The following is a 12,616-nucleotide window of genomic DNA, read 5'->3' on the forward strand; positions in this document are numbered from 1 at the left end:
GAGCTTGAGACCAGCCTGGCCAACATGGTGAAACTCCGTCTCTACCAAAAATACAAAAATTAGCCAGGTGTGGTGGCAGGCACCTGTAATCCCAGCTGCTTGGGAGGCTGAGGCAGGAGAATCACTTGAACCCAGAAGGCGGAGGTTGCAGCGAGCCGAGATCGTGCTGGGATTACAGGAGTGAGCAACCGCACCTGGCCGAGACTGTTCTCTCACTCAGCAAAATGCCCTGAGATTCGTCCAAGTTCTTGACAGTATCAGTAGTTCCTATTTTTTTTTGGTAAGTAGTATTGCACTGTATGGAGGTCCCACAGTTTATTCATTCTCTCCTGCTGAAGGACACTTAGGTTTTTGCAGCGTTGGATCATTATGAATAGAGCTGTCTTAAACATTCATGTACAGGTTTTTGTATGAATGCAAGTTCATTTTTCTTGAGTAAATTCCAAGGAGTGGGGTTGCTGGGTTAAATGATAAGCATAGGTATAACTTCATAAGAAACTGCAAAACATTTTTAGAGTAGCTATACCATTTTGCATTCCCCCAGAGGTGTATAAGAGTGCCAGCTCCTCGATATCCCTAACAGCACTCAATATGGTCAGTATATTTTTAATTTAATCATTCTGAGCAGTGTATAGTCGTGTCTCACGTTGGTTTTAATATGCATTTCTCTAATGGCTAATAATGTTAAACATGTTTTCATTTGGTAAAGTGTCTGTTCAAATCCTTTGCGCATTATTAAAAGGGGCTATTTGTCTTTTTACTTTTGAACTTTGAGAGTCCTTTATATATTCTGGATACAAATCCTTTGTGAGCAGGGACATCTTCATGGGAGTGTGACCTGTGCAGCTGCACAGGGTTCCACACTCAAAGGGACCCAGAGCTTTGTTCAATGTTCTACAGTTGCAGTCTTGAAATTCTTAATAATTTTTCAAAAAGGAGGTCCCACATTTTCATTTTGTACTTAGCCCCATAAATTACATAGCTGGTCCTGTTTGTTGGATATGCAATTTGCAAATATACGTTCACAGTGCTAGCTTGTCTTTCCATACCCTTAGTAGTGTTTTTCCCAGAACAAAGTTTTCAACTTTGATAAGGTCCAGTTTATCAATTTTTTCTTTGTTGGATTGCACTTTTGGTGTCATGTCCAAGAACTCTTTGATCATGAAGATTTTCACTCCTGTTTTCTTGTAAAATTGTTATTGCTTTGTTTCACATTAAGATACATCATCCATTTGGAGTTAATTTTTGTATCGTTTATGAGATTTAGGTTTTACATTGAAACTTTGATTGGCAAGAGATTTAAGTTATAGATTAATTTAGGAAGAACTGACATTTTTACAATGTAGCATCTTTATGTCTAGAAACATGATAATACTTTTTTTATATATTCAAGTCTTTGTGTCCTATAAAGTTTTATGGTTTTATTCCTATATTTCTTGCACTTTTTTCCTGGTTTATTCCTAGGTATTTTGTACCTTTTTTTGCTATTTGAACGAGATTTGTTTTCTATTATATTTACTAATTCATTGTAGTAGATGGATTGAAGTTGAAAAGAAATAACTGAAGATGAATTGAGGTTGAAAAGAAAACTGTTGTTTTGGGGTGTTGATTTTGTATAGAACTCGTTACTAAAGGGGCTTACAAACTGTTTGCTTTTAGGCAGGTTCCGGAAGAGACCGTGCTTTCCTCCTCACTTCCTGCCTTTCCCTTATAAAAACTAGGGGATTGGAGTGGAGTGGTGGTCAGTTATGAGAGTTCTGCTGAAATGACACCTCTGGACAGCCCGAGGGTAGGAAAAGGGTACCATTTGCTGTTAGGTACTTGGTGCCATTGTTCTCAGCTGTGGGTTTTAAGAGCTAATTGCATCAGAAAAAAAATAAGATAAAGATAAACACATTTTATCAGTAGATACTCATTCAGCTGCAAGTAACAGACTAGTTTAGTGACATTTGCTTTTAAAAATGTGTTTTATTTTTTTCACATAACAAGAAATCTTGGGGTAGACCATTGCTGATGTCAGCTCAGTGGTTCAGTAATGCCACTAGGAACCCAAGTTTTTCTTTTCTTTCAGACTTTTTTTCCAAGCAAACTTTTTGTTTTGGAATAACTTTAGATCCATAGGAAAGTTGCAAAGACAGTACAGGCCTCTCACATACCCTTCACCCAGTTTTTTGCTCATGTTAACATCTTACATAACTTTGGTACATGTGTCAAAACTGGAAATTAATATTGGTACATTACTATTAACTAAAGTACAGACTTCATTGGGATTTCATCCGTTGTTCCTCTCTTATCCTTGTCCTGTTTCAGAATCTAATCCAGGGTATCATTCGTTCTAATGTCTCCATAGGCATCCCTTGGCTGTGACAGTTTCTTGATCTTCACTTGATTTTCATGGTCTTGACACTTTGAGGACTACTGCTCAGGTATTTTGTAGAATGTCCCTCAGTTTGAGCTCATCTGGTGATTTCTCATAATTAGACTGGAGTTGTGGGTTGGCAGGGAATACCACTGGGGTGGAGTGCCCTACTCATTGCCAGGTGTCCTGATATCAGAAGGACTTATCACTAGTGATGTTAACCTTGTGATAGTCAGCTGGTAATGTTAAACTTGATCACTGATCTTTTAGTCTTTTTATTATGGAGAATTTGAAACATGCACAAAAGTAGAGAAAACAATATAGCTAACCCCTATGTATCTATATCCAGTTTCAACAATTATTGATTTTATTTCATCTATACCTCCATCTACTTTCCCAGTAGCACCCCTGGGCTATTTTGAAGCAAGTTGTAAACATTACATTTAATCTATAAATATTTCAGTATGGATCACGAAAAGATAAAGACTCCTAGAAAAGTAGGCACAATATCATTAGCACTCGTAAAATCCCTGGCTATATTTTCAAGGCTATTTGTATTTTCCCACTCTGCCCTTTTCGGCATGTGGCTCTTTATCCTTGCTAACAGTTGTGAGAGAGCTTCTCTGTCTTCAGCCGTCACATCTAAGTTTAAGGCCAAACACTGGGAGGCAGGATAGCAAAAAGCAAAAGGTTTCCCAGATCCTTTTGCCCCTTACCCTTACAACCCGACTTCCAGCTGTATCTCACTGGTCAGAATTGTATCACGTGGATACCACAAGTACCAAGAGAAGTTGGAAAAGCTAGCATTTGGCTTTCCAACCTCCATAATTGAGGATGACATGGGATGATGAGGTTGGGAATAGATGCGGAGTGAGCCAACATAGAGTATCGTTCACACTAACTTGGGGAAAAGAGAAACTTCACTTGACACATTTCTCCATTCTGTGAAACCAGTCCTTAGGGAAGAGAGTGGGACTGGTGGAATAACTACTGAATGGCCATACCATAGCAGCACTTGTGTTCTCCTGCCTCTGGCTTGGTGATGCCTAAGGCTGGGACCTGGCTGGGCCTATGAGTGGAGGCTAAGGCTCCAGCTGTAGGGGCTGGAACAATGTGGGGCTGCAGCCAGAGAGCCGTTTTAATTTGACTTCAATGACTCAAAGATGTAGTTATTAAAGAATGCATTTCAGGCCGGGTATGGTGGCTCACTCCTGTAATCCCAGCACTTTGAGAGGCCAAGGCAGGTGGATCACTTGAGATCAGGAGCCTGGCCACCAGCCAGCCTGGCCGATATGGTGAAACCCTCTCTCTACTAAAAATGCAAAAATTATCTGGGCGTGGTGGCACATGCCTGTAATCCCGCTACTTGGGAGGCTGAGGCAGAAGAATCACTTGAACCGGCGTGGCGGAGGTTGCAGTGAGCCAAGATCGTGCCACTGCACTCCAGCCTGGGTGACAGAGTGAGACTCCGAGAGAGAATGCATTTAACAGGACATAAATTCTAAAATCAGGATAATCCTAGACTACCGAGTAGCTTAAGTATAAGTTTAGAGCATTACCAAAGCAATGACTCTACAAGAAACATTGAGTTCTGGTGAATTTAACAAGAATTTTTCAAAATAAAAAAATGTTTAGAAAGAAGCTGCCAATTTTTAATGAAAATCATTTTATTTTACATTATTTGACATACTTTTAAAAAAGAAAAAATGTGCCAATTAAACTCTGAAATGCCATTGATTCTAAGGCACATCCTGACTTTAGAAATGTTAAAATGTGGAAAAAATTTTGTCTTGATATTGATGAAATATGGTATTTTAATTTTTAACTATATAATACAAGTAAAGTTTGGATTCTATGTCACAATCATTTTTAAAAATTGTTTTATTGAGTTATAATAAAATCAGTGAGTAATAAGATCAATGAAATTCCACTTATGTATACACCTATGTAATCATCATCCAGATTAAGATTTAAAACATTTTGCTATCTCATAGTTTTCTTGTGCCCTGTCCCACTTAATCTCTATTCACAGAAGTGACCACTCTCTGAATTTTTTCACCGCAAATTAGCTTTATTTGTTCTGGGATTTATATAAATGGAATCATTCACTTTCTTCTCTTTTGTGTCTGACTCCCTTTTTTTTTTTCTTATGTCCAGGATACATTGTTAAGGGAGAAAAAAGCAAGTTATCAAAACAATTGAAAGAGTATTATCATTTTTGTTTAAAAAACCACAAGTAGTCTGTATCTATAAGTGTGTTCCTATGTATATTACATGTAAGGACAGCGTACTGAAATGGGGAGCTATGAACAGGCCAACCTAGACCTCCATATTTGAAAATTGTCACTTGCTCCTTCCCCTCCATGTTACTCATCTCGTTCCCCTGTTCTGCATTTTCATTTTTCATAGCACTTAATGTCTTTTTACATTTTATATATTTACTTATTTATTATGTTTATTATGTATCATATGTTTCTCCTCCTTTCCCTAGAATGTAAGATTGCTCATGGTAAGAATCTTTATCTAGTTAGTATTTGGCACATAGTAGGTGCTCAGTAAATATGTAGTGAGTAAATGAATCAAATGGTATTGGAGTAAGGTGAAGGAAAAACACTTTTTAATTAATTTATCATAGTTGTATGTATTACAATGTATAACGATCAAATAGGGTAATTGGGATGGATATCCATCACCTCAAACATTGATCATTTCTATATGTTAGGAACATTACAGTTCTTCTCTCTAGCTACTTTGAAATATACAATAAATTGTTAATTATAATTTCCCTACTGTATTATTGAATAGTGGAACTTATTCCTTTTAACTATATTTTTATTCTCTTAAACCAACTTCTCTTTATCCCTACTTCCCTTCCCAGCCTCTGGTAATTCAGCATAATGTTTTTGAGACTTATCCATGTCGTGGCATATATCAGTACTTTGATCTTCTTAAAAATCATGGAGTAGCATTCTATTTTAAAAATATAACAAGATTGGGCCGGGCACGGTGGCCCACGCCTGTAATCCCAGCACTTTGGGAGGCCAAGGCAGGTGGATCACCTGAGGTCAGGCGTTCAAGACCAGCCTGGCCAACATGGTGAAACCCCGTCTCTACTAAAAATACAAAAAATTAGCCAGGCACGGTGGCATGTACCTGTCATCCCAGCTACTCGGGAGGCTGAGGCAGGAGAATGGCTTGAACCCGGGAGGTGGAGGTTGTGGTGAGCTGAGATCGCGCCACTGTGCTCCACCCTGAGTGACAGAGCGAGACTCCTTCCCAAAAAAACAAAAAAGAACACAGTTTGTTTATTCATTCTCCTGTTGACAGACATTTGGGTTGTTTCTAATTTGTTACTATTATAGAAAGAGTCTATGAACATATATGTAAGAGTCTTTGCATGGACTTATATTTTTATTTCTTTTGGATAAATAGAGTGGAATTGCTGGGTCATAGGGTATGTATATATTTACCTTTATAATAAGTTGTCAAACACCTTTTAAAACTGATTTTATCATTTTATAGTTGCACCTCCAAGGTGTGAGAACTCCAGTTTCTCCACATCCTCACCAACACTAAGAACTGTTAGTCTTACTAATTTCAGCTTTAGCTTTATCTGCTAGGCTTAAAGAAGTATCTCATTGTGGTTTTAATGTGCATTTCCCTGTAGACTCATTATGTTGAACATCTTTTAAGGCACTCTTGGCCATTTGTTTATCTTCTATTAGGAAGTTCTCTTTTAAAATCTTTGTCTATTTTTTAAAATGGCATATATATGTATATGTGTATACATATATATATACACACACATATATATATATATATATATATATATATATATATATATATATATACACACACTAAGTTCTTTGTCAGATACATGTTTTGCAAGGAGCAATCACTTAAATGAAGAAAAGCCAATAAGGTTGAAGCAAACTGTGAGACTCAAGTCAAACTGACATTTACTGAATAACTACCAGATAGCAGGTCCTTCAGACCCAGGCTTTCCCCTGATTTTCACTCTGCCGGGCATCATTTTCTTGATTTTTTTCACTATGCTACTAAAGCCTAGAGAGGTTCAATAACTTGTTCAATGCTGCCCAGTTTAAAGAGGCAGAGCTAGGATTCAAAGGGGTCTGTGTGAATCCTTCCCCTTAAAAGAAGCACACTTATATTGGGTGCCCTCTGTTTTTCCTTTTATTTAAATTATATAGAAGGGACTTCTATTTTTTTTCAATGCTTAGCCTCTAGAATCTTAATCTGTCCTTGAATTAGGGCTAGCTGCTTAGTCCTGATTAATTTCTAATAAGGAACTAACTAGTCCTTTAATATGCCCCTGAATTAGATTATAGGGAACTCTGGTGTGGGAGATTAAAATCTGACACCCCAAAGTACGCTTCTTTTGGCATATTTCAAGATGGCTATTCAGAGGGGCTGCAGACACAGGAATAGCTCTGAAAAGCTATCCTTTTGTGGGGGAGATTTGCATCTGTAGAGGAAATCTACATTAGTGAAGTAAACAGCGGATGCAGAGGCTTTCTCTGAGTTCTCCTTATCCGGATCTAGGAGAGATTAACTCAGAGGAAAAGGAGACGAACTCTGACATTTTAAAGGTCTGACAGAGAAACTTGTACATAGCCTACCATCTATTCTTTCTGAGGACTGTCAGCCGAGTGGCTTCATTTGCATAAGACAACTACTTTTGTTTACAGTGTATTTCCTCCCTCACCATCCCATGACCTACTGTCACCTCCTTCTGGGAGCTCCAAGCCCCTGTCCCTTTCTGTACAGTATAAAACATTCAGTCGGCTGGGCGCGGTGGCTCACGCCTGTAATCCCAGCACTTTGGGAGGCCGAGGCGGGCGGATCACGAGGTCAGGAGATTGAGACCATCCTGGCTAACACGGTGAAACCCCTTTTCTACTAAAAATACAAAAAAATTAGCCGGCGTGGTGGCGGTGCCAGTAGTCCCAGCTACTCGGGAGGCTGAGGCAGGAGAATGGCGTGAACCGGCGAGGCGGAGCTTGCAGTGAGCCGAGACAGCGCCACTGCACTCCAGCCTGGGCAACAGAGCCAGACTCCGTCTCAAAAAAAAAAAAAAAACTTCAGTCATCTGACCCTCCCTTGAGTCTCATATTTTGAGTGGCTTCTATATACATGTGCTTATAGTAAATTTGTATGCCTTTTCTCCCGTTTATCTATTATAATTTTGTTTTGTAAATTTAAATTACCAAACCTTTAAGGCGGGGGGTTCAGAGAAGGAAAATTCCTTTCACCCCTACAGTGCATTCATAAAAATGGCAATAATCCAGGATAAGGAGAACCAAAAAAATTTTTAAAAGGTGGGAAGAGGGTTCCAAAGCAAGCTGAGAAGAGTTTGTGTATAGCCAGGACAAAAACTGGAAGCCAGTGAATCCCCAAAAGCTGAAGGTCAAGACAGAGCAGGGCTATAAAATCAGGAAAGAGAAACATACACTCAGAGGTGAAAAGACCATGAAGTTCTTGAGAAGCCCACCAGAGACAGAAAGCATTTCTATTTTTTCCTGGTATAGACCTACAATAGCCATCCCCAAAGGCAACCACTCCCAGATCTAGAAGCCCAAGGACTCTTTCAGTTCAAGAACTTGCTATGCCTGGCAGCTTCCATCAACATCGATGAGTTTTAAAATCTTTTCTAACCCTGGCTTCTTACCCTGCAGTTAGGACATCTTGGTTGTGATGGAAATTCAAATCAATGTAATGCAAACAAACAAAAGTATTCTGGCTTCAATCTTGGGATTAAAATGACACCTCCAGGAATTGCTCTTTTTCTCCATTTCTTGACTGTGCTTTTCTCTGTATTGGCTTCATACCTGCAACAAGCTCCCTCTCTGTGGTGGGAAATCCAGTTCGTGGCAGCTCTAGGTTTTCACTGTCCTGATAGTCTAAGGAAAAGAGAAAGACTTTTCCCAGGAGTTCCGGTACCAATTCTGGAAGGGCTCTGATTGGCCTGGTTAATGTCACATTTTCATCACTAAATAGGATTCCCAGATAAAATAGAGAACTCCCAGTTATATGTGAATTTCAGAAAAACAAATTTTTTTTACTATAAGTATGTCTTATGCAATATTTGAGACGTGCTTATACTAAAAAAATTGTATTTATCTGAAATTAAAATGTAACTGAACATCCTGTATTTTTATTTGCTGAACTTGGCAACCTAATTCCTATGCCAACCACCTGTGGCCAAAAGGATGACAGACTCCTGAATCCTGGAGATTGAGTCAGTCTCAGATTGATGGGGACTGGGAATGGGGGAAGGGTAGTTGCCTAAAGAAATCCTGAGCAGATTAAAAGCTTGTGCCTACTATACTTGCTGTTTCTTCCTGTACTCCCAATTTTGTGTAGACTTTTCCAGATCATCTATCTCATGTTAAAAACTGAGATAATCACCTTCACTTCCAAATGTGTATTTTTTTGACAAACTGCCAATTATTGACAACAGATTTTTTCTCCATTCCTCTCACCTCTAGTTATTGAATTTACAAGTTTGGTGTTCTTTCATTTCTTGATTTTCCTTTGGTCCATTAATCCACAACTTGAAAACCCAGACTTGTGTCTCACCAAGTAAATTCCTACATTCCAGAAGCTGCAAAATTTGACTCAATGACAGTCTAGTGCTAGCTCAAAGGTGACTTGGGGCAGTATCTGAGCAAGCAATATGAACCTGGAAATTCAGATGCAGCAGATTTGCTGATTTGAAGAGATCATTCCAGTTTTTATAAAAATTTCATATACTTATTATTTTATGAACTAATGTACTGTCATAGTAACAAAGTTTGGACCTTCGCTGGAGGAGAAGGGGATGAGTTCAAGAAATTTTCCTATTTGTAAGCACTACTATTTGTTTGTTCTGTATCACATTGCCATGTTCTCACTTGTATGCCTCAACTGTAAATATGCATATCTGCTTTATTAGTCACGATTCTCCAAGGAGTCAAACGCACGTGTGCACACACACACACAGAGGGAAAGCGAGAGATTTATTTGAAGGAATTGGCTCACACTGTTGTGAGGCTGGCAATTTGAAATCAGCAGAGCAGGGTTAGCAGGCTGAAGAGCCAGGAAACAGTTGATGTTGTAGTCTTAAGTCCTTTGGTGACTTCAGTCTTTTGAGACCTTCAACTGATTGAATGAGGCCCTCCCACATAATAGAGAGTAATCTGCTTTACTTGAAGTCTACTGATTTAAATATTAATCGCATCCTTAAAAAATCTCTTTGGCCCGGCATGGGGGCTGCTGCCTATAATTCCAGCGCTTTGGGAGGCAAAGGTGGGAGGATAGCTTGAGCCTAGGAGTTAGAGACCAGCCTGGGCAACATAGTGAGACCCCGTCTTTACAAAATAAAAAATTTTAGCCCCAGGCATGGTGCACATGCCTGTGGTCCCAGTTACTTGGGAGGCTGAGGCAGGAGGATCACTTGAGCCTAAGAAGTTGAGGTTGCAGTGAGCTATGATTGCACCAGTGCACTCCAGACTGGGTAACAGAGCAAGACCCTGTCTCAAAAAATAAAAATAAAAATCCCTTCACAACAATGTCTAGACTGGTGCTTGACCCAAAACTGGGTACTGGGGCCTGGCCAAGTTGACCCATAAAATTAACCATCCCATCTAAGAAGTCATTACTTTACGTCTAATTGTGTCAATGTATATCATTGTCAGATCTTCCTTCAATATTGTCAAAATTCTTAATACATTGGTTTTATTTGCTTGGAAAAGTTTCGGTGATAATTGCTGAAGGACCAGGCTATTTTATAGAAAAGTTCTTTTTCTCTTGAGGCTATTGGATGTGAATAATCCTGAAGTCTTCTTCTGTAGCAAGTCATTCAAGAAATGGATTGACCTTTAAAAGAAATTTCACAGTAATTTTCCTCTGGCTTATTTTTGGCAATCAAAATAAATAGAATCACAGACTGGGGACTGGGCATGGTGGCTAACACCTGTAATCCTAGCGCTTTGGCAAGCCAGGGCAGGAGGATCACTGGAGGCCAAGAATTTGAGACCAACCTGGGCAACAAAGCAAGACCCTATTTCTACAAAAAAAAAAAAAAAAAAAAAAGAGTCAGACATGATGGCTCATGTCTGAAGTCCTAGCTACTCGGGAGGCTGAGGCAGGAGTACTGCTTGAGCCTAGCAGTTCAAGGCTGCATTGAGCCATGATTACACCACTGCACTCCAGACTGGTTGATAGAGCAAGACCTTGTCTCAAGCAAACAAACAAACAAAAAAAACAAAAACAAACAAAAAAAACTAAAGACTAGAGGGATGTTGATTCCTCTTTGAAATCTTAGGTTTATGCTTAGATGAGACACTGCAGTAGCCTGAAGCTTCATATTAGTCTATTGGCATGTGCTTTGACAAAAAGCAAACAAAACATGTAGGTAACAAAGATGAAAGATAAAATAGACCAACATCAAGAAAAATGGCATTCTGAGTTTTGATCTCAGAGAACTAGTCCCCTCTCTATGTTCCAGGAATGACAGAAAATGACATATTTCAAATACAAGTTAATTCTTTTCTTTTAGCTAAATTGTTCACGATTGAATGGTGCTTTTATACGTCAAGAAAATGATCCCTTCTCTTCCTGATCTTCTATTAAAAACAATGAGACAATTAATTTTTCCTACTGATGAATCTGATAATATGCACTGTTAAATGTGTGGAACGCAAATTTAGAGTTTCTTATACAGATCAGATACTCAGAGGGAGTATAATTCACCAAGGATTCCCCTTTGGAAAATGATGTTTAAAAGCTCAGAGAGCACTAATTAGATTAAGTACGATGATCATGAGAGAAATGTTAGATTAGAACCAAAAAGTTTTTGAAAGGGTAGAGCAATTCGGAGGAGCTAAGAGAAGATTAATGCATAAGAATTGAGTGACTGTGCTAATGACAAAAAGAACCTAAAGGGACACATTTCAAATCAGTCAATGGTAAATGGTGGAGAGGTGTGAGAGGAAAAGGGGTCAGGGCCCCTTTGACAAATATTCTCTTAGGTATTTTCTCTTAATAGAGGGTCCTTGTGGAGGAAGAGTGATCTAAAAGTTTGCATGGGTAAAGGAATACCTGTTGAATTCAGTAAGACCTTAAATGCCCAGGGGAACTCTCTGGCCTTGGCTTAGTAAGCAATAGAAGTCACTGAAGGTCTTGAGGAAAAAGGAGGGAGAAGAACGCCGTAGGTTAGAGAAGCAAATCTGGAAGTATAGTGTAGACTGTGGGAGAAGAGTTCACGCTGGCGATTAGAGGCATGTGTGAGTTTCGATTGAATGTGTGGGCAGGGCTTACAGATATGAGATGACTCTGAGATATTCTTTTTTTTTCTTTTTTTTTTTTGAGACGGAGTCTCACTGTGTCGTCCAGGCTGGAATGTAGTGGCGTGATCTTGGCTCACTGCAAGCTCTGCCTCCCAGGTTCACGCCATTCTCCTGCCTCAGCCTCCTGAGTAGCTGGGACTACAGGCGCCTGCCACCACGCCCAGCTAATTTTTTGTATTTTTAGTAGAGACGGGGTTTCACTGTGTTTGCCAGGATGGTCTCGATCTCCTGACCTTGTGATCCATCCACCTAGGCCTCCCAAAGTGCTGGGATTACAGGCTTGAGCCACCGTGCCTAGCCAACTCTGAGATATTCTAAAGGAGTGGGGGGCTTACAGAGAGGAATCATGGACAGGCTAGATGGTATCTTTGAAGTTATCTGATCCAATATACTACCCAATACGATATGTCTACATTTAACAGTCCATAGCTTACATTAGAGTTCACTCTGTGTTGGTCATTCTATGGATTTTGACTAATGTCATACATCCACCATTACAGTATCACATAGATATCAATTTCTTTTTCAGAGACAGTGTAGACTAATGCTGTATCAATGAAGGAATTTTCTTTGACTACCAGATATCTGTTTCTGTAATGTTATCAGTGGATTCCCACTGTTCTGCCAGAAGTTTTGAATGTTCTTCCTGCTTTGCAGGCAGTTTCTCCCTAAAGAACTACTGAATATTATGTCATACTCCCAACAGGGTAATATATGTGATGTGCACTGTAAAACTTTCCAAAAGTTATTAAAATACTGAGTTCCAAATGCACCTGGCCCCAAAGGTTGTGGATTTGGAGTTGTGGATCTATACTCCCTAGTATCCCCAGCAGGATCTGGGAGAGGACCTCAGAATCAAACAACTTCATATTTCTGCAGTGAAAGAATCTCTGCACATAAATACTCA

The 12,616-nt window shown here is 39.3% G+C and overlaps 1 long non-coding RNA gene across 1 annotated transcript in view, besides 1 other annotated feature; it reads left to right on the forward strand.

Moving 5' to 3' along the window:
- The window catches only part of MYHAS (myosin heavy chain gene cluster antisense RNA), a 242,409-nt gene that overhangs the window by 182,055 nt on the left and 47,738 nt on the right, over window positions 1-12,616 (forward strand). Inside the window, exon 3 of the long non-coding RNA NR_125367.1 lies at window positions 2,351-2,426. This is a non-coding gene — a long non-coding RNA (myosin heavy chain gene cluster antisense RNA). The remainder of the gene's footprint in view (window positions 1-2,350; window positions 2,427-12,616) is intronic.
- Window positions 6,590-7,182: an enhancer, noted in NCBI's record as "NANOG-H3K27ac-H3K4me1 hESC enhancer chr17:10475093-10475685 (GRCh37/hg19 assembly coordinates)". NCBI's record gives its function as "activates a minimal SCP1, AML or CMV promoter by ChIP-STARR-seq in primed H9 embryonic stem cells {active_cell/tissue: H9 hESC(primed)}" and the evidence as "EXISTENCE:reporter gene assay evidence [ECO:0000049][PMID:30033119]".

The sequence above is a fragment of the Homo sapiens genome, chromosome 17 (genome assembly GCF_000001405.40).
Source record: "Homo sapiens chromosome 17, GRCh38.p14 Primary Assembly".
Classification (NCBI taxonomy): Eukaryota; Metazoa; Chordata; class Mammalia; order Primates; family Hominidae; genus Homo; species Homo sapiens.